Source organism: Homo sapiens, chromosome 16 (assembly GCF_000001405.40).
Source record: "Homo sapiens chromosome 16, GRCh38.p14 Primary Assembly".
Classification (NCBI taxonomy): domain Eukaryota; kingdom Metazoa; phylum Chordata; class Mammalia; order Primates; family Hominidae; genus Homo; species Homo sapiens.
The window spans coordinates 27,953,764-27,975,914 of record NC_000016.10 but is presented as its reverse complement, the minus strand read 5'-3'; the positions used below and the strand labels follow the sequence as shown (position 1 = coordinate 27,975,914).

The window sequence follows — 22,151 nt, the reverse complement described above, 5'->3', positions numbered from 1 at the left end:
TTTAACATGAGAATGGAAGTTCCGTGAGGGCAGGGATTTTGTCTGTGTGGTTCGCTGCTGTGTCTCCAGCACCTAAAACCAGGACTGGCACATAGTAGGTGCTCAATAAATGTTGATGGGATACAACTGTGTGAATATAAAACGTTGACATTGGGAACTTAAGAGAAGAGAAGTGTACTTTTGGGGATTGAGATTAATTCAGACACCTTCAGATATCACTACTTGATGTTGTGATTTTGATGCCTAAGATAGAGAGATAGAATATGAATTCTCAGGATTTCAGGGTACGCAGCCTCCAGCCTAGTCTAGAAAGTGGTTAAGCCCACAGTGCACACAGGACTACACGTAAATAGATCCGAAAGCAGAGGAAAAGTCCCCTGCACGTCCTGTAGAGGACACGTGTACTAAACAAGTTGACAAATCCATACACAGGACAATTTCAGAGCGTGATGGTGGTCTCACTATGGAAGAAAAGCAACGCAGGTGCAGGAATAAGCATGATGCGGTGAGGAGGGGTGGGGACCACCTTAAGTAGGGCGGTGTGCCAGCTGTTCTCCATCCACCCCTCCATGTCCATTCCCTGCCCTTCTCGGTGCCCTGGGAACTGCCTGGACTCTGTGCCCATTGGTTTTGGCCAACAGGAGGCACCTACAGGGAATCAAGAGGGCAGAAGGAGAGAAAGATCAGGGCATTCCTTTCTGGCTCATCTTGTTCTCTCCCTGTTGCGGTTTTGACAGTGACTACATTTCTCTAAGGAGTGGCTCTCAAAGTGTGGTTCCCAGGCCGGCAGCATCAGCATCCTCTGGGAACATGTTGGAAAGACCGATTCTCAAGTCCCGGCCCAGAGATGCTTAAGTTCTGATTCTGAGGCTTGTTAAGTGTGAATTCAGCTCCTGATGGCAGCTCCTCCTCTATGGCTTCACCTCTTCCAGGCTCCTTTCCCTCCCCTGCCCCTTCAGACCTGGGTTTCCCTTGGTTACCAGCCCCTCAACCCTGTCCACACCCCTATACATAATTTCTTCACTCGTCGGTCTTCAGTGAGCCCCTCGGAGGTACCATCTGTTTCCTGCAGAGACCCTGACTGTCCAGATGACCAGCATGTCAGTTCATCCCCATCTAGACAGGGCACACCCTCTCACGGTCACCCAGTCCCCACAGGCTCGCCTCAGTCATTGCTGGTCATTGAGAAGGCTTGAGTTGGTGACCTTGAGTTGAGGCTGAGATTTAAGTCCTGTCTGTGTGCCCCTGGCCTGCAAGCAAGATGCAATGGTGTGTGATGGTGAGGGCAGTCACACATGGCATTTCTCTTTAAGGCTATGGTGGGTATGAACAGGCACTCTCACTTCTTCTAGCCAAGGAATGCCCTAGTCATTTATTCCTGTAGACCCAGTAGGATAGAACTCTGAGCTTCCACTCCCCAGAATAGCAAGAAATTCAATCTCCAGTTTTTGAGATTTCCTTTCAGCCCCTGGGTCGTATGAAGTTTTCAGGCCATTTGAGAGAACGCTCTGGTCTTCCCCTACCCTTCCTCTCCCCACAGCTGGTGGTTTTCTGGCCTCATGGGCACCATGGGACCCTCACTGGGTGCAAGATTTTGGCTGAGCTAATAACCTATGACCCCAAAGTCCAGCTTTCCCGTGACGTTTTTCTTTGAAGGCCCTGACATCTTTTAGGGTGCTGTGGATCCCCAAACATCTTCTCCTCTTGGAATCTGATGGCCCCCCTTTCTTTCTGCATGAATTCCCTCTGCTGTCCCCTCCCTGAAGCAGGAAGACATCACCCTCCAGTGGGCCTCTGGGAATACAAGGGGCCTTTAAGGAGTCTCCTTCCTAGGGCAGGAGATGCCAGCTCCATTCACCTTTGCTATCTTAGCAGCTCAAAGGGAATCAGATGGGGAGGGGGTAATGGGAGAAAGGGCATCTTCAAGGGGCAAAAATGAGGCCGTTCCCAGGCAACATTGATGGGCATGGAGGAGACAATGGAAGGCGCAGGGCCAGGACCCAGGCTGGGGCCCACGAAGGAGCCCAGAGCATGTCTGCAGCAGCCTCAGGCAACCTGGACTGCCGCCCACTGAGTTGTCCCAGCTGTACCCCCTGGTGGTTGACAACAAGCCCTGCCGACCTACCCTATAATATGCACTGTAGAAACACCAGCGTTGGTGATCTTCATGTTTTTATAGGTAGGGAAACTGAGGCACCAAAAGGTTCATATTGATGTTACACGTGCAGTGAGTGATGGAGCCAGGCTGCACCCAGGCAGGCCTGGCTCTAGAATCCCTGCACTGAACCAGTGCGTGACCCCCTGGCCATGTGCTAGTCTGTGATGGTACCTGCATGTCACTCTTGTTTCCCCCAATTAGGCTGCAGAAGACCGTGTCTCATGTTTCCTCTGACCCGCATGTAGGTGACAGTGATGACAACGAAAGCCATCTCCTAAGCACACACTCTTTTTTTTTTTTTTTTTTTTTTTTTTTTTGTGATGGGGTCTTTATTGCCCAGGCTGGAGTGCAGTGTCAAAATCTCAGCTCACTGCAACCTCCACCTCCGGGGTTCAAGTGATTCTCCTGCCTCCTGAGTAGCTGGGATTACAGGTGTGCACAACCACGCCCGGGTAATTTTTGTATTTTCAGTAGAGACGGGGTTTCACCATGCTGGACAGGCTGGTCTTGAAATCCTGACCTCAGGTGATCTGCCTGCCTCAGCTTCCCAAAGTGCTGGGATTACAGGCATGAGCCACCGCACCTGGCCCTAAGCACTTACTTTTTTCCAGGCATTGCATCTAAGCTCTTTGCCCATGTTGAGTCTTCACAAGACCCCTACAGGTGCTGTGCCCATTTCGCCAACAAGGAAATAAAGGCACAGAAAGATGGGAGGACTCACATGGCAGGAAGTGACAGAGCCAGCATTTGCACTCAGCTCTGCTGATTCCAGAAGTCAGACCCCTGACCACTGAACTATTCTGCCCCATAAATGCCCTTCCCTGAAGGATCGGCCGGTGCCATCACATGAGCCATCACTAAAATGACTCTCTGTTGTTTTTCTAATGTTGGAAGGATATTTTTAATAGGCTGTGATTCTCACCCTGAGTGTACATTGGAATCACCTGGGAGCTTTTAAAACGCTAAGATATATGGGCTCCACCCTGACCAATGAAATCAGAATCGTTGTGGGTGGGGCCTGGGATTCACATTTCCGGGGTTAAGAATCACGTAAATTGATTGACCTAATAGGATTCTTCTCAGCTTTCAAGTTCCATGGTTCACCAAAGGTATGCTGCCATCAGGTGGCAGTAACATGCCACAGCTCTGTGATCTAATTGTCAAGCCCCAGTCTGAAGTGTGATTGAGAGACAAGTGCACCTGTCTTAAGGTTTAATGCCCAAAATAAATCCCTTAACTAAACATATAAACTTAATTGCCATTGATTTTGATATTTTATGGGTCACTTCTAAAAGCGGCAAGCCAATATGGTGCCATTTAATACCTAGCTCATTAATCCTTAGATAATCTTTATCACAGAGACTAAGGATTTGGAGGAAAAACATCTCTTCTGTGTTTGAATTTCAGCTGTTAGACTTCTGGCCATTGAAGTATCCTGTGTTCCTCATGTCATCTCTATGACTTTTCCTTAAACCTCAGCGTTGACCTGCCTGGGCAGTGTGGGCTAAGTTTGATCACCTCTGCTTAAACATCTTCTGTTTAGCCTTGTCCATGTAGCAGAAATGGAAGTGTGAGAGCCATTTATTTTGGCCCCTCTTGGATTTTCCCTGTCTCTATGGAGGTATATTCCTAGGAGATTTCTTTCAGGACACCCCCAGCTGTCCATGGTGGGAACATCTGGTTCTGGTAGGAAATTCTGACATAGCAATGGGAGCAGAGAGCTGGGAAGATTTTAGGATGTGGTGTGGAGTCTGCAGACCTGGGTTGAGTCTTGCTCCATTTCTTACTGGCTGTGTGGTCTTAGGCAAGTCACCGAAAGTTCAGACCCTCACTTTGCTTGTCTTGAAAGTGGAGATTCTCATTGAAGTTTGTTGTGGGACTAAAGAGACGGCAAATATCCTTTCATGATAAAACTGCTCAACAAAGTAGGAATAGAAGGGAACTTCCCCAACCTGACAGAGGGCATATATTAAAAAAACCCCACAGCTAACAACAAATTTTATGGTACAAAAATGAATGCATCCCCTCCAAGATCAGGAACAAGATGAGGATGTCCACTCTTACCACTTCTATTTAATATTATATTGGACATTTTAGCCAAAGCAATTAGGCAAGAAAAAGAAATAAAAGAGATCAAGATTGGAAATGAAGAAGTAAAACTATCTCTATTTGCAGATGATATGAGTCTGTATATAGCAAGTTCTAAGAATCCACTAAAACTGTTAGAACTAATAAATGAGTTCAGCAAGATTGCAGTTTACAAGATCAATATACAAAATTTAATTATATTTCTATACACTGGCAATGAACAATCCAAAATGAAATTTAGAAAACAATTCCATTCATAATAGCATCAAAAATTATAAAATACTTAGGAATAAATTTAACAAAATAAGCATGAAACCTATATTCTGAAAACTACAAAACATTGTTAAAAGAAATTTGAATAGATCTAAGTAAATGGAAAAACATCCCATGTTCATGGATTTGAAGTTTTAATATTTTAAGACGGCAATACTTCCCAAATTGGTCCCATTACAGATTCAGTGCAATCCCTTTCAAAATTCCAACTTGCTTTTTTAAAGAAATTCACACATTGATCCTAAAATTCATATGAAAATGCAAGAGACCCAGAATAGACAAAATGATCTTTAAAATGAAGGCCAAAGTTGAAGAACCCACATTTTCCAATTTCAAAACTTCAAAGCTACAGTAATCAAGATAGTGTAGTATAAGGAGAGACATATAAATTAATGGAATAGAACTGAGAGTATAAAATAAACGCTTTTACTTATAGTCAATTAATTTTTGGCAAGTGTGCCAAGACAATTCAGTGGAGAAAGAATAGTTTTTCAACAAATGCTTCTGAGACAACCGGATATCCACATGCAAAAGAATAAAGCTGGACCCCTTTTATACACCATACACATAAATCATCTCTAAATGGATAAGAGACATAAATAGAAGAGTTAAAATTACAAAAGTCTTAGGGGAAAGAATAGGAGTAACTCTTCATGATCTTGGGCTAGGCACACCCTTCTTAGGTATAACACTAGTCTAGGTGTAGTGGCTTATGCCTGTAATCCCAGCACTTTGGGAGGCTGAGGCAGGAGGATCACTTGAGCCCAAGAGTTCAAGACTAGCCTGGGCAACATAGTGAGACCCCATCTCTATTTTTCTTTTTTTAGATGGAGTCTCACTCTGTTGCCCAGGCTGGAGTGCAATGGCGTGGTCTTGGCTCACTGCAACCTCTGCCTCCTGGGTTCAAGCGATTCTCCTGCCTCAGCCTCCCAAGTAGCTGGGATTACAGGGGTGCACCACCATGCCTGGCTACTTTTTGTATTTTTAGTAGAGATGGGATTTCACCATGTTGGCCAGGCTTGTCTTGAACTCCTGACCTTAAGTGATCCACCTGCCTCGGCCTCCCAAAGTGTTGGGATTACAGGCGTGAGCCACCATACCCAGCCTCTATTTTTAAATTAATAACAAAGAAGATATGACAACAAAAGCACAAGCAACAAAAGAAAAATAGACAAATTGGGCATCATTAAAATTAAAAACTTTTCTGCTTCAAAGGATGTCATCAAGAAAGTGGAAAGACAAGCCACACAATGAGAGAAAATATTTACAAATCAGATAACTGATAAGGGACTTGTATGCAGAATATATAAAGAACTAATCACCCATAATAAAAGGACAAATGACACAATTAAAAAGTGGGCAAAGGGTCTGAGAAGATATTTCTCCAAAGAAGATATAGAAATGGGCAATAAGCCCATGAAAAGATGCTCAACATCATTAGTCATTAAGAAAATGCAAATTAAAACCACAGTGAGATACCGCATGGCACTGGCAAGGATGCTTATAATAAAAAAAGACGAACAATAGCAAGTGTTGCTGAAGACATGGAGAAATTGGAATCCTCATATGTTGCTGATGGGAACATAGAATGATGCATCTGCTTTGGAAAAAAGTGTCGCAATTTCTCAAAATGTTAAATATAGAGTTACATATGACTCAGCAATTCTATTCCTGGGTATATACCCAAGAGAAACAAAAACTTGTCCACACAAAAACTTGTACATGAACGTTCATAAATAACCAAAATGTGGAAACAAATTCAAGTATCTATTATCTGATGAATGGATAAATAAAAGGTGGTATATCCACATCATGTAATATTATTCTGTGATATAAATAACATAGGCTACAAAGATGGTTGGTCCTTAAACACATTATTCTAAGTGAAAGAAGGTAGTCACAAAACATTATTATATGATTGTATTGTATGATTATATAATTCCATTTATATGAAATGGCATTTCATGTCTTGTCTGATCATATTGAGTGTATTCTATAATTCCATCTATATGAATCATACAATATTGTAAGATTCCATTTACATGAAATGACCAGACTAGGTGAATCTATAGAGACAGAAAATAGATGAGCTCTTTCCTAGGGCTGGAAGGGTTGCAGGAAATGAGTGACTGCTAATAGGTACAGCTTTCTTTTCAGTGTGATGAAAACGTTTTAAAATTGATTGTGGTGATGGTCACACAGCCTGGTGAATATGCTAACAGTATACTAAAAACCATTGAATTGTACACTTTATTTTATTTATTTATTTATATTATTTATTTATTTTGAGACTGAGTCTCACTCTGTCGCCCAGGCTGAAGTGCAGTGGGGCGATCTCAGCTCATTGCAACCTCCGCCTCCTGGGTTCAAGTGGTCCTCCTGCCTCAGCCTCCTGAGTAGCTGGGATTACAGGCAGGTGCCACTATGCCCAGCTAATTTTTGTATTTTTAGTAGAGAAGGGATTTCACCATGTTGGCCAGGCTTGTCTCGAACTCCTGATCTCAAGTGATCCGCCTGCCTTGGCCTCCCAAAATGTTGGGATTACAGGTGTGAGCAGCCATGCCCAGCCAAATTGCATACTTTAAATGTATGAATTGTATAGCATGGGAATTATATCTCAATAAAATTGTTAAAGAAAAGGGAAAATGCCTAGCACATAGATCTTAAATATTATTGAGGTGCCCAGTTGGTGGTGAGAGCTGGGAGCCTGCTGCAGGAGGGCGGGCATCTTTCTTAGGCTCAGGAGGCACAGAGCGGAGGGCCCAGAATACTTCTATAAAGGTCTTGGGCCTGTGAAAATGTTTTAGGGCCATGAAAATTCTACGGGCCCATGAAAATGTTTTAGGGCCGGGCGTGGTAGATCACGCTTCTAATCCCAGCACTTTGGGAGGTTGATGCAGGAGAATTGCGTGAGCTCAGGAGTTTGAGACCAGCCTGGGTGACAGAGTGAGATCCCATCTCTACAAAAAATAAAAAAAACTAGCCAGATGTGGTGGTATGTGCCTGTGGTCTCAGCTACTCAGGAGGCTGAGGCAGGAGGATCACTTGAACCCAGGAGTTCAAGGCTGCAGTGAGCTATGATTGAGCCATTGCACTCCAGCCTGGGCAACAGGGCAAGACCTTATCTCTAAAAATAAAAACAAATAAACAAAAAAAGAAAAAAATTAATTTATTTTAAAATCAGAAGAAGATATAAACTTTTAGGTGAAAAAATGCTTAATACTTAATATATTCATCTTTTTGCCAATGTGGTTGTAAAATAGAATTCTTATTATTATGTTTTGAAGTTTAAGAAGGGCCCCTAATAGGCAAAAATGTGCAAGGCCCACCAACATTTTAATGTGGCCTCGGGTGTTGGTCTGAATTTGGCCATTACATCTCCTCCATTCCAGCAATATAACAGTACAGAAAGTTTAAAACAATTCACTCAAAATCCATCCACTCCAGCACAACACTTTATATTATATTATATTATATTTTTTTGAGATGGAGTCTCACCCTGTCACCTAGGTTGGACTGCAGTGGTGCGATCTCTGCTCACTGCAACCTCCACCTACCATATTCAAGCGATTCTCCTGCCTCAGCCTCCCAAGTAGCTGGGATTACAGGCATATGCCAACACACCCAGCGAATTTTTGTATTTTTATCAGAGATGGGGTTTCTCCGTGTTGGCCAGGCTGGTCTCGAACTCCTGGGCTCAAGTGATCCTCCGAAAGTGCTGAGATTATAGGCATGAGCCACCGTGCCTGACCAACACTTTTTAATTTTAATCCTTCCTTCTAGTTCTTGGCTGTCAGCAAACATCTCTTTCAGTGGGCTAAAATATCAGCACCTCTAATGTGCTGTGTGGCCCAGGATGGTCCCTCAGCTGCCCTGGGCCTTATCGTCTTTGTCTGTAATGGAAGGTGTGAGTCCTGCATCTCAGTACGGAGCACAAGGCGGGGGCAGGGGAAGCCAGAATGCTGGAACCACAGAGCAGGGTTCACCCATCTGTGGCCGTGTGATTCTTTGGAAGGAGTGACATAAATAAGAGAGGAAGCACCTCCTTGGCTTGACATTTAAGACCCTTTGTGATCTGACCCCTTCCTTCCTTCTCAGACTCATCTCCCACCGCTGCCTCCATCTCTGCCTTTGCATTGATATGGGGCTGGCAGGAGGTTCAGGAGGCCAAAGGGGCTTCAAGAGACCTTATCAGAGAACTTAGGAAGCTCTAAGCAGACAAATTAGTTGAGAATGCCGAAAGCTTCTAGATCGTTTTGACTCTTCTACCCACATTGGTCCCTTTTGACCCAATCTGTCTCTTTGTTGGGACCAGCAGTAACATCCTGAAGCCAGGGGTTGCAAACTCACCCTAGAGTTTATCCAGTCTAGTGTCGCAGGGGCCATCTCAGTGGTTTAGGTGAAGCTGGGGGCAGAGCAGTAGTGGGCGGTGGGGACTGTGGCAAACCAGAGAGCTTTCAGGTGCCTTATCTAAAGGAGGCACAGCTGCCTGGCCCCATGTGATTGTTGCTGTGTGGGATTGTGGGCTCAGCACAGCTGGATCTTCTGATTCTTTAAGAGAAAATTACAAATCTGAATTTGTAGGTAGCAATTTACCTATTTTTATGATCCCGTGTGGGTCAAACAAAATGTGTTTGTGAGCATAGGTCCAGCGTGCGCCCCCTCTCTTTGTTAGAAAGGTCTAGAAGTTGGGCCATGATTTGCTCAGTGCTGCATCCTTGGTGGCCAGGTCTGTGTCCGTGGCATCAGGGAGGCCTGGGAGGAAAGACTGAAGAGGGGAAGCTTCTTGTAGACATAAGGTTTCAGTGGCATTCATTCATTTATTCATTCATTTGCTCGTGTATTCATTCTCTTGCTCATTTGTTCATATATTCCTTCAATATTGTTTGTTTGTTTCCTTTTTCCTAGATGGGGTCTTGCTCTGTTGCCCAGGCTGGAGTACAGCTTACTGCAGCCTCAACATCCTGGGCTGAAGTGATACTCCTGCCTCAGCCTCCCCAGTAGCTGGGACTACAGCCCCGTGCCACCACAGCTGGCTAATTTTTAAATTTTTTTGTAGAAATGGGGTCTCGCTTTCTTGCTCAGGCTGGTGGGAAAATATTTATTAAGCAGTCACTGTACACACCAGGTTCTGTTGTAGCTGTTAGGAATCCATCCAGAAGGAAGATGGAGAGTGTCAGGGGAGGGACATTTGGAATTTTAGATAGATTAAATGGAAAGGCCTCCTTGGGAAGATAACATTTGAGAAAAATGACAAGGGAGAGGAGGAGTAAACTACTCAGGTATGCGAGTGAACAGTGCTGCAGGCAGCAGAGGCAGCCAGTGCGAAGGCCCTGAGGCAGGAGAATGCCCGGCACGTTTAAAGATTGGCAAGGAGACCAAAATGACAGGAGTGGAGTGAGCAAGGGGGAAGACAGGAGGGAAAGAGGTCAGGGAGGTGATGGAGAGACAGATCACAGAGGGTCTTGCAGGCCACAGCGAGGACTTAGGCTCTGACTTGGGGTGAGTTGGGAATGCTGGGAGGGTTCTGAGCAGAGAAGGGACATAATCTGTTTTAGGTTATACCAGGATACTTCTGGTCACTGTGAGGATGGGGCAGAAAGAGAGAGACCAGTGCAGAGGCTACTACAGTGATCCTGGTGGGAACTGATGGTGGCTGGACCAGCGGAGGTGGCGAGAAGTGGCTGGATGCTAGACGCATTGGGAAGCTAGAGCCACGAATGAGATAAAGATGGCAGCAGGGTTTTGGCCTGAGCATCTGGGGATGGAGGTGCCATTTACTAGCTGGGGATGCAGTGAAGACTTGGTCCCTGTCCTCACAGAGCTTGCAGCTTGCTGGGGGAAATAGACATTAATGTGTGTGTAAGCAGAGTCCGGAGTGAGCTTCTTCTATTTGTAAGAAAGGGTCTGGAAGAAGTAGAAAGTTCAGAAGAAGAAAAAGAAACTTTTAGGTGAAGAAAATGTTTAATACTTAATAGTAATATTGTATATTAGTCTCTATACCAATGTGACTGTAAAACATAATTTTAAAATTACTTAAAAATTTAATTAAATTAAATTTTATTTAAATTAAAAATTTTTGGCTGGGTGCAGTGGCTCATGCCTGTAATCCCAGCATTTTGGGAGGCTGAGGCAGATCACTTGAGGTCAGGAGTTCGAGACCAGCCTGGACAACATGGAGAAATCCCATCTTTACTAAAAATACAAAAATTGGCTGGGCGTGATGGTGGGTGCCTGTAATTCCAGCTACTCGGGAGGCTGAGGCAGGAGAATTGCTTCAACCCAGGAGGTGGAGGTTGCAGTGAGCCGAGATTGCACCACTGTACTCCAGCCTGGGCGACAGAGTGAGACTTTGTCTCAAATAAAATAAAACAAATTAAAATATTTAATTTTTGTGGGTACATAGTAGGTGTATATATTTATGGGGTACATGAGATGTTTTGACACAGGCAAACAATTCAATTATACTCTTTTTGTCATTTAAAAATATACAGTTAAGTTATTATTGACTACAGTCACCCTGTTGTGCTAGCAAATAGTAGGTCTTATTCATTCTTTCTAACTATTTTTTGTACCTGTTAAGCATCCCCACTGCTCCCCGCCCAATCCCCTACTACCCTTCCCAGCCTCTGGTAACCATCCTTCTACTCTCTATGTCCATGAATTCAATTTATTTGTTTTTTAGATCCCACAAATAAGTAAGAACATGCAAAGTTTGTCTTTCTGTGCCTGGCTTATTTCACTTAACATAATGACTTCCGATTCCATCCATGTGGTTGCAAATGACAGCATCTCATTCTTTTTTATGGCTGAAGAGTACTTCATTGTGTATATGTAGCACATTTTCTTTATCCATTCATCTGTTGATGGTTAGGATGCTTCCAAATCTTGGATAGTGCTGCTATCCACAATTGATAAATACAATTGTGCTATCCACGATTGATAAATACAACAATTAATTATTTAATTAATTTTTATTTAGGAAGGGGCTCATCAAGGCAAAATGGCCGAAGGCCCACCAATGCCTCAATGTGGCTGTGGATGCTGATATGCACATTTTTTTTTTTTTTTTGAGACAGAGTCCCTCTCTGTCGCCCAGGCTGGAGTGCAGTGGTGTGATCTTGGCTCACCTCTGCCTCCCAGGTTCAAGCAATTCTCCTGCCTCAGCCTCCCGAGTAGCTGGGACTACAGGTGCATGCCACTACGCCCAGCTAGTTTTTGTATTTTTAGTAGAGATGGGGTTTCACCATGTTTGCCAGGATGGTCTCCATCTCTTGACCTCATGATCCGCCCGCCTCGGCCTCCCAAAGTATGATCTGTATGTTGAATTTCCCTCCCTCTAGCCTTTGAGGAAACAATGTAACATTAAAAAAAGTATAAAGCAATTCATTCAAAATCCATCCACTGTAGCACACCACTTTTGTTTTCTTTCTTTTAAATCCTCCCTTCCAGTTCTTGGCGGTCAGTACACTCTCTTTCAGTGACTTATCATCTCAGTGCCACTAACTTGCACCTGAGACTCACACATGCAAAGGCAGACTCAGGATGGTGGCCATGCCCCATAGAAATCCAAGGTGCTGTGAGAGTTACAACAGCGGGAGCATGTTCCAGGCGGGGAACAGCATGTGCAAAGCCATGGTGGGAGGCTGCACAGGGGTGTACCAGGAACGGGGGCAGAGGGAGAGGGCAGTGGGTGGACAGGCCAGTCAAGGCCTGTTCTGGGTCCACAAATGGGAATTTGAACTTTCTCCTTTGGGAAGTCATCAAAGAGTTTCAAACAGGAGCAAGCTGTGTGTGTGCGTGTGTTGGATGTGATCAGAGCTGTGTTTTGAAATGATCCCTCCAGCTGCAGCGTGGAGAATGAATTGGAGAGGGGCCAGAGTGGAGGCCTGGGGAGGCCAGTGAGGAGGAGCGTGGATTCTGGGGGGAGGCTGTGGAAAGGGACAAGGTTGCTATCGTGGAGGTGGAAGCGATGGGCCAGGATGGATGGGGTCAGGAGGTGGGAGAATTGGCAGTTTCGCCATCCACACTCCTGGGATGTTGGGCTTCTAGGAACCAGGGTTGGAGAAAGATGTCACTGGGCTTGGGTCAGAGACACTGGCTTGCTCCAGGGCTCATGGGATGGGAGCAGGCAAACCTCGGAAGCCCACGTGTCCTCTCACATTCTGAAAACGCTTCTCTTCTTTTCAAAGGTGAAAAATGTCGCAGCTTCATTGACCTGGCCCCGGCATCGGAGAAAGGTGAGTGTGACCCCAGCTGAGCTGTGGCAGCTCTGCTCTCTCTGGGGACATCTTTCCTACCTTGGTGGCTCCCCAAAGCCCTGTGATAGCATCTTCTTCAGCATCCCTGGGCAACAGGGCCCTGGGAGCCAGACACCCTGTTGCAAAGCCCTGAGTTTCTTGAGCTCTCAGTGGAGTGGGAGAGGCTGGTGGATGGGGACTGTCTGCCCTCCCTGTCTGACAGAGTAGTCCTGAGGGTCATCACCCTTCCATTCTGTCCAGTGCATGCTGGGACTGTGGGAGGGATGATGGGGGTGTGGACGTTTGGTTCAGGCAAGACTGGTGTTGGGGTTTGCCTCCAGCTGTAGGATTTGACCTTGGGGGAGGGAAGCCAGGTGCCTGGCCTTTGTCATCTCACAGGTGTGGGGAGGGCCAGTCTGATTGGATGCCACCATCCAGAGAGGGCTCACTGGTGTTCAGAGCCCGACAGCAGAGGCTCTGAGCCCACAGAGATGTCCAGAGGTGTGCAAGGCAGTGACTGGATTATCAGGAGCAGGGCACAGCTTGAGTCAGGGGATAGCAGTCAGGATTAGGTTTAGTTGCAAGTAATAGTGACCCTAAGGAACTAATTTCAATGGAGAAATTTATCTCCTTTATAAAAGTTTGAAAGTAGACAATCTAAGGTGGCTCTGCTCCACAAAGTCCTCAGGATCCTGGCCCCTGCCACTCTCTCTGTTGTCCCACTGTGTTTTTCTTCATGGTCTAAGATGGCTGCCAGAGCACCAGCTATTACATCTGCATTCCAGGCAGCAGGATGCAGGAAGGGCAAACTCTAAGGTTCCCAGAAGTTATCCCACAACACCTGCATATATCTCCTTGACCAGAACTAGTCACATGGTCACACCCAGCTAGAAGGGAGGCTGGGAAATGTGGTCTTTATCCTGGGCAATGCTGTGCCTAGCTGAAAGTCAGGAGTTTTGTTATTATGGAAGAACAAGAGAATGGACACAGGAGGAGAGCCTGCCACAGGGACACGGGGGAGTGTGGCTGCCTCCCCACCTGCCTACCCTCTGCCACCCAGGAGATAGGCTGCCAAGAGTGAAACAGGTATGCATGTCTCTTCAGATAGCCTGGAGATTAAGAGAGGGCTCTGGGCTTGGGAGTCAGGGGAGGGGAAACTGAGGCAGAAGGGCACCATGTGTCCTGGAAGCTGGTGACATTCTGTTTTGCAGACACTGTCTTTTTGGAGCGCTCCAGTCAAGTGGCAGCTGGTGAAGTTGAGGGGCAAGAGACAGGGAACCCACCGGGCCCTCAGTTCCCAGAAAGCGACAAGGACTCCCTACCCCCCAGCAGCCTCTTGGCAGTCAGGACCGCCTCCTCCATTTCTTTGATGTCCCCATGGCTGTGTTCTGTTTAATTGCTACATGTGACCATCTCCAAAACATTTGGCTGGGCGGCTCAAGCCACAGCTTCCAAATTGAGATCACTGGGAAACACAATAATATGACCACTGCATGGCTGATATTTGTTGAACAGTTACTATGTGCCGGATACAGTGCCAAGCACGTCGCAAGCATCAACTGAGAAACCTCCCCACAACCCCTTGAGGAAGGGGCTGTCATTCTCACTCCCACCTGACAGATGAAGAAACCAAGGCTTAGAGAGATGAAGTCACTTAGGTCTCACACCTCATGAGAGGCAGAGCTGGGTGAAATCCAGGCCTGCGCTTCACACCTCTCCACTGTCTGCAGCCTTCTGGGATGTGCAGCCCTCTGGGATGTGCAGTCCTCTGGGATGTGCATCCCATAATTCCCAAGGCCTTGGAGCTCCTGGGTCAACTTTGCTCCAAATCTGGCTTCCAGAAAGCAGGGCCTGTGTATGTGCACATGCATGTGTGCGTGTGTCCCGGGTAAGGGTGAGTGTGCATGTGCATGAGTGGCTGCTGCTATGTGTGTGCACGCATGCATGCCTGTGGATGAGCTGGGTGAGCATGTGTGAACGTGGGCATGGAGGCGTGTACACATGCGTGCACATGTAAGTGCAGGTGCCATGTGTGCATAAGCACAGGTGTGTTCTAGGGTGAGCACATACGGGTTGTGTGCCCATGTGAGTGCGTGTGTGAATTTGAGTACGTGTGTGTGTGTGTGTCTGTGTACAGTGGCAGGTGGGTGGCCTGTGCCCCTCCAGAAGGTATCAGGCCTTTATTTTGCTTCTTTTACAAGAACCCCAAAGAGGTTGTATCTTTGTGTTTTACTGGCCTTGTGATTTTACTTTTAGGGCTTGGCAGCCACACCGAGAACCTTCTGGCTGTGTATATAAAAATGTTTACAAGGAGGCTGAGTGGGCTGGCTTTGCCACTGAGGTGCTGAATGATTTTCACGTACTCGCTGTCTCTCAAACACTGTAGCTCTCGCTTGAGGTTGGCAGGGTTTGGTCCAAGGCAGCCCGTGTGGCCTCCCCCCATGTATACGGGCCCAGCCCTTCCAGTAGACACCCGCAGTAACGTGGCACCCTCAGACCCATCCATTTTCTCCCCACCACACTCAGCTTCTCCATTTCACAGAGGAATCTGAGGGCAGAGAGACGAGGGACTTGTTCCCAGCCGCACTGGGAACAAGTGTGCGGGGTTGGATGTCCACACTCAGCTGTGTTCTCCCAAGGAATACTCTTTCCCTATGTTATGGCTCCCGCACTGGCTCCCTCTGGGACATCCCTCCTGGCATCTTTCTGGTCTGCCACATACGATAATCGCGACACTGGCACTAACTGGCTTTCATACGGTAGTTACTGTGTGCCAGGTGCTATGCTGAGAACTTGGCACACGTTGGCTCCTGTAATCCCCATTTTACAGGTGAGGAAACTGAGGTACAGAGCAACCACACGGCTGGAAAATGGGGGAACTGGGATTTGAACCTGAACAGTCTGGCTCTTAAATGTCTGGTTCTCCTGCTGAAAAGCTTAGGGCTTCTGAGCCTGGGGGATATCTGTACTCCCTTTATCAGCTGAGGTCCGGTGAGTGCTTTCCTTCCTGCCTCCAGCTCCTCCCACCTGGCAAACCGCAGGCATGATTTCAAGATTTCCAGGCCCTTCTCAAATGCCACTTCCCCATTCCCATTTTCTCCAATACCCTCTTGTCCCCTGCTCACCTACCCTCTCCCTCCTGGCAAAATATTTGTCCATCATCAGTTTCTTACCATAGCATCACACATTTTTCTTCGTTTGCCTGACTATTCTAGTTTTGTGTTTTACATGGGAAATGTCTTTTTTGTTTTATGCTAGCCTAAGCCACAACCATTTTTTATCCGGATTCCTGCCACAATCTTGTAAGTGGTTACCTCCTTTCATTCTTGCTCCCTGATTTGCTTGGTACCTGAATGATCTGTATTTTATATTTTGAGATGGGGTCTTGCTCTGTTGCCCAATCTGTAGTGCAGTGGTGCGATCGTAGCTCACTGCCGCCTTGAACTCTTGGGCTCAAGCAATCCTTCTGCCTTAGGCTCCGAGTAGCTGGGACTACAGGTGCGCACTACCATGCCCCACGCTTGGTGCCCAAATGGTCATTTTTTCTTTCTTTCTTCCTTTCTCCCGTCCTCCCTTTTGCCCTTCTGCCCTTTCTCTCTTTCCCCTTCCCTTCCCTCCCCTTCCCTCCCCTCCCCTTCCCTCCCCCTCCCTTCCCGTCTTGTCTCGTCTCCTCTCTTCTCTTCTTTTCTTGACACAGTTTCACTCTGTTGCCCAGGCTGGAGTGCAGTGGTGTGATCTTGGCTCACTGCAACCTCTGCCTCCCAGGTTCAAGCGATTCTCCTGCCTCAGCCTCCCGAGTAGCTGGGATTACAGGCGCACGCCACCATGCCCGGCTAATTTTTTTTTTTTTTTGTATTATTAGTAGAGATGGGGTTTCGTCATGTTGCCCAGGCTGGTCTCAAACTCCTGGACTCAAACGATCCTCCCACGTTGGCCTCCCAAAGTGTTGGGATTACAGGCATGAGCCACTGCACCTGGTCAAGTGAACCCCTATCCTGAAGCTACCTAGGAAACCCCAATCAACAGCCAGTTCATTAGCACACGTAAGACACTCTCATCACTCCAGAGGTTTCAAGGGTTTTAGCAGCTGTTTGCCAGGAACCATGAGACCAAATATATGTTTTTTGTTATATCACAGTATCACGATTATACACACTTGTTATAGAAATTTTAACAACCGTGGCCGGGTGCAGTGGCTCATGCCTGTAATCCCAGCACTTTGGGAGTACAAGGCGGGCAGATCACCTGAGGTCAGGAATTTGAGACCAGCCTGGCCAACATGGTGAAATCCTGTCTCTACTAAATATACAAAAATTAACTGGGCATGGTGGCATGCACCTGTAATCCCAGCTACTTGGGAGGCTGAGGCAGGAGAATGGCTTGAACCGGGAGGTGGAGGTTACAGTGAGCCGAGATCATGCCACTGCACTCCAGCCTGGGCAACAGAGCAAGACTCTGTCTCAAAAAAAAGAAAAAGAAGTTTTGATAGCCCCAAGTGCGTAAATTACAGATGAAAGTCTCTTATAAACCCACCCTTGGGTATTTAATATGAATGGTTTGGTTTATCAGTTCTTGAAAAAAATGTATACATACACACACGTATGTACATACATATATTTGATATATAAAATCATGGTTTGCTATTCATGTCAGTACATAGAACTTGTCCTTATCTTGAAACAGGTGTAGGATATTCTATCGCATGATGACTGATATAGTTTTCTTTTCTTTTTTTTTTTTTTTTAGATGGAGTCTCACTCTTGTCTCTTGTTGCCCAGGCTGGAGTGCAGTGGCATGATCTCGGCTCACTGCAACCTCCACCTCCCAGGTTCAAGCAATTCTCCTACCTCAGCCTTCCGACTAGCTGGGATTACAGGCACCTACCACCATAGCTGGCTAATTTTTGTATTTTTAGTAGAGACAGGGTTTCACCAATTTGGTCAGGCTGGTCTCGAACTCCTGACCTCAGGTGGGCCTGCCCACCTCAGCCTCCCAAAGTGCTGGGATTACAGGAGTGAGCCACCGTGCCTGGCCTGTGACTGATATAGTTTGAATGTGTGTCCCCTCTACATCTCATTTTGAAATGTGACCTTCAATGCTGGAGGTGGGGCCCAGTGGGAAGTGTTTGAGTCATGGAGGTGGATCCCTCGTGAATGACTTGGTGCCGTCCCCTTGGTAATGCGTGAATTCTCACCGTATTAGTTCACACTGGAGCTTGTTATTTAAAAGAGCCTAGCACCTCCTCTCCTCTCTTTCTCACTCTCTCTCTTGCCATGTGACATGCCTGCTTCCTCTACATCTTCCACCATGAGTAAAAGCTTCCTGAAGCCTCACCAGAAGCCAAGCAGATGCTGGCGCCATGCTTATACAGCCTGCAGAATTGTGAGCCAAATAAACCTCTTCTTTGTAAATTACGCAGCCTCAGGTATTTATAGCAGTGCAACATGGACTATCACGTATATTGACATGTGTTTAAACCAGGCTGTCTAGCTGAACTGCACTTGAGTGTTCTGTATTGTATTGTAGCTGAATAACAGTGACTTGTGCACATCTCTCTGTCCCTTACAAGCCCAAGACCTTCGATGGGTAGCATAATTTCTCATTTACCTCTGGGTCTCCAAGTCCTAGCCCAGCACTGGAGTACCACTGGCAAGACAGTATAAGCAGTATAACAAAGGTCTGCACAGTAGATTGTGCCAGGCAGAGAAGAAGAAAGTGATCAAAGATGCCTGAGCAACTTAAGATGAAATGTACAAACGCAGATCAACAGCAATGCCTCCATGTTATGAACTTTTTTATTTTTTATTTTTTGGTGGAGTCTTGCTCTGTCACCCAGGCTGGAGTGCAGTAGTGTGATCTTGGCTTACTGCAAACTCCACCTCCTGGGTTCAAGTGATTCTCGTGACTCAGCCTCCCGAGTAGCTGGGACTGCAGGCGTGTGCCACCACATCCAGCTATTTTGTATTTTTAGTAGAGACTGGGTTTTGTCATGTTAGCCAGGCTGATCTCGACCTCCTGACCTCAGGTGATCCAACCGCCTTGGCCTACCAATGTGCTGGGATTACAGGCATGAGCCACCGCACCCAGTTGATGTTGTGAACTTGATACTGAACATGCAGAGAAAAGTTTCTCCTACTTCCCTGTCTTCCTCCTCAAGGGTTCCTTTGTCTCTCAAAACCTCAGTCATTTATTCACTAGGGCAAGAGTCTCCTACCAAATAACTGTGACCCACAGGATAATCTTAAAACCTGGTGCATTGGCCAGTAAGACCAACAATAATGTTATGTAACGAGCTATCACACAACCCAGTGGCATTCACACAACTCAGTGGCATTCACACAGTTTTTTTTTTTTTCCTCACATGTCTGTGGGTTTTCTTGAGTTTAGCTCATGTCGGAAGGCTTGGTTCCAGGATATAGGCTGGGCTCAATCTGCCCCACTTGTGTCTGTTCAGGTAGAGGGGATAGTAGGTGCTTGGTGGAGGTTTTTTCATGGTAATGACAGAAATGCAAGATGGGGAGCCAACTGCACAAGCACATTTTAAACCTTGTTTGGATCATATCCACCAACATCCCATTGGCCACAGCCAGTCCCATGGCCAAGTCCAACATCAATGGGGCAAGAAGTATACTGCTCACATGGAGGAATGGGTGGGGTGTTTGGAGTGAATGTTTGCTGATCAATAATTTAAGTGACCACACCCGGACCTGACCATAGGTCTCAAGGATGGGTGGCAGCTGGAGCCAGCCTGGCTGGATTTCTGGTCATGAGTGTGAGACTCATTAATTTGCTTGTCAAGGTCTCCTCTGGTCATTGTCAGGATCTTTATTTCTCCCAAAGTGACCTAAATATTTGAATATTTATCTATAACCTGGTTGGCATCAGGCTGCTAAATGGTCTATTATTGCTTCCTCTTCTGAGATTGAAGAACTGTTTTATGTGCACAGACTTTGGCCAACTTTCTGGTTAAAAATATATAACTATTAACAGTCATGAAACCTTCCAGATTAACCAACTATCATTAAATTTTCTAGATTAACCAACTATCATTAAACTTTCTAGCTTCAAAAGAAAACTGTTCATCCTTTTTGCAAATTATTGGCAAATGTGTAAATGTTCTCTCAATGTCTTCAAAGACAACTGGCTAATTATAATAACACTTCCTCCTTTCCTTCTTCTCTCCCTCCCTCCCTCCTGTCCTTCCTTCCTCCCTTCCTTCCTTCCTTCTTTCCTTCCTTCCTTCCTTCCTTCCTTCCTTCCTTCCTTCCTTCCTCTTCTCTTATGGAGTCTTTTGACCTGCAGCCCCATTTTGACTCAATGATTATCTAGGGCTGTTATTCTGGAAGCCCTTTTTACCATTATTTTGAAATTTCCTCCCCTCTCTCATGTTGGCTCCACTGCTTCCTGGATCCCAGGTAGTCTTCTTTCTGGATTACTTCCTCATTTTGGGGAAAAATATCCTCCAGTAACTTCCTGAGAAAGACAGCATGGTTGAGACCCTTTATGTCTCATGTTGTTTTTATTTGTCTGTCACACTTGACTAGATGTTTTGCTGGGTATAAAATTTTAGGTTGGAAATAATTTTCCCACAAAATTTGGGAAGGATTGGCTGCTCCCTTGTCTTCCAGACTCCAGTGTTGTTGAAAATTTCAATGTTATTCTGATTCTTTTGTGTGATCTGATTTTTTCCCCTCTCTGGAAGCTTTTAATATCTTATTTTCTGTTCTCACTTTTTTTTAATCTTCCATTTTCATTTTTATTTGCCTTTTTATTTATTCCTCAGATATTTATTCAATTTTTATATTTCAATCAGCCAGTCTACTTTTAACATTTCTACAGTCATACTTTTAATTTTAAGAGCTTTTTCTTGTTATAGGAATGTTCTTTTTTTTAATAGTCTCCTGCTTTTGTTTTATGGACACAATATCTTCTCATATTTCTCCAATGATATTAATTTTTTTAAGTTTGCTTCTCTACCCTTTAATGTCTCTGTTTCTTCCAAGTTCTTTTGCCTATCTTATTTTAATTTCAACTGTCTTTTATATTGTTTTCCTTAAACATCTGATGTTCACGTTTAACAGTGAGGTGCGAACTTACTATTTTGAAGCTCAAGATACAGTGGAGATGGGGAGAATATTGGCCAATGGACTTCCCAATCATCTGAGCTATAAACTCCTCATCCAAAAAGTTCATTTGGGCCAGGCATGATGGCTCACATCTGTGATCCCAGCACTTTGGGAGGCTGAGGCAGGAGGATTGCTTGAGGCCAGGAGTTCCAGACCAGCCCAGGTAACATAGTGAGACCCCTGTTTCTATGAAAAATTTAAAAATAAAATTAACTGGACATGGTGGTGTGTACCTGCAGTCCTAGCTACTCAGAAGGCTGAAATGGGAGGATTGCTTGAGCTGGGGAGTTCAAGGCTGCAGTGAGCTAGGATCGTACCACCACACTCCAGCCTGGGTGACAGGGCAAAACCCTGTCTCAAAAACAAAATGAAACAAAACAAAAAGTTCATCTGATGAACCCATACGCACTGTCACGAGGCTTTTTCTCTTGCACTGATCAGTTTCCCGCAAGAGGAACTCTCCCATCTCCAGTGTATTAATAAACTCAGCCATCAGCATTCTGGGAATCAAATGGGGGGCCTGGGAGGTATCTCAGTGGCACACATGTAGACTTTCACTTAATTCTTGGTTTTCAGTATGGAGCTCAGCTGGGCCTGGTTCCTCTATTTGAAGGATTTTCTGAAGTTTCCTCTGTGGCTTCCTCCATGCGGGTAGTCAACTTCCAGCCTTCTCCTATCTGCTAAGTCATTAACCAACTATTCATGAAATTTCTAGCTTTTAAAATGTTGCTGCCATCTTTTTTTTCTATTGTTATCTCTTGTCACATCCTCTTTGTTCTGAGGATTTATGACTTTCTTATTCCTTAACTGTAATGATTGGCGGTATTGAAAGAGAGCAGTGGCCTTTGGTTCAGCCCCATGTTCAATCCCAGGTTTGACTTTGTAAACCCAGGTCTCTCTCCTGAGCTCTAGATTCCACCTCCAACTGCCTCCTGGACACTTCCTCCTGAGTGCCCCCAGGGACTGCAAACTCAGCTGGTCCACAATAGAAAACACTTGACCCTTCTTTGTCCATTGTCCTGTCTTCACCATTATCTGCTCTGATTCCAAAGCCAGGAACCAGAAGGTCATCCTCAACTCTTTCCAAATTCAATTATTTGACAAGTTCAGTTTCTTTTGTTTCATAAATATCTTTGTTTCTTTGTTTTTTTGAGATGGAGTCTTGCTCTGTCACCTAGGCTGGAGTGCGGTGGTGCAATCTCTGTTCACTGCAGCCTCTGCCTCCTGGGTACCAGCAATTCTCCTGCCTCAGCCTTCCGAGCAGCT

General features: G+C 45.7%; 1 protein-coding gene across 5 annotated transcripts in view; it reads left to right on the top strand.

The window, feature by feature from the left end:
- Nucleotides 1–22,151, top strand: part of GSG1L (GSG1 like) — a 276,187-nt gene that overhangs the window by 87,800 nt on the left and 166,236 nt on the right. For all 5 annotated transcript variants that reach the window (NM_001323901.2, NM_001109763.2, NM_001323900.2 and 2 more), the window contains exon 2: nucleotides 12,712–12,759. In NM_001323901.2, the coding sequence (NP_001310830.1) occupies nucleotides 12,712–12,759 (48 nt within the window). The remainder of the gene's footprint in view (nucleotides 1–12,711; nucleotides 12,760–22,151) is intronic.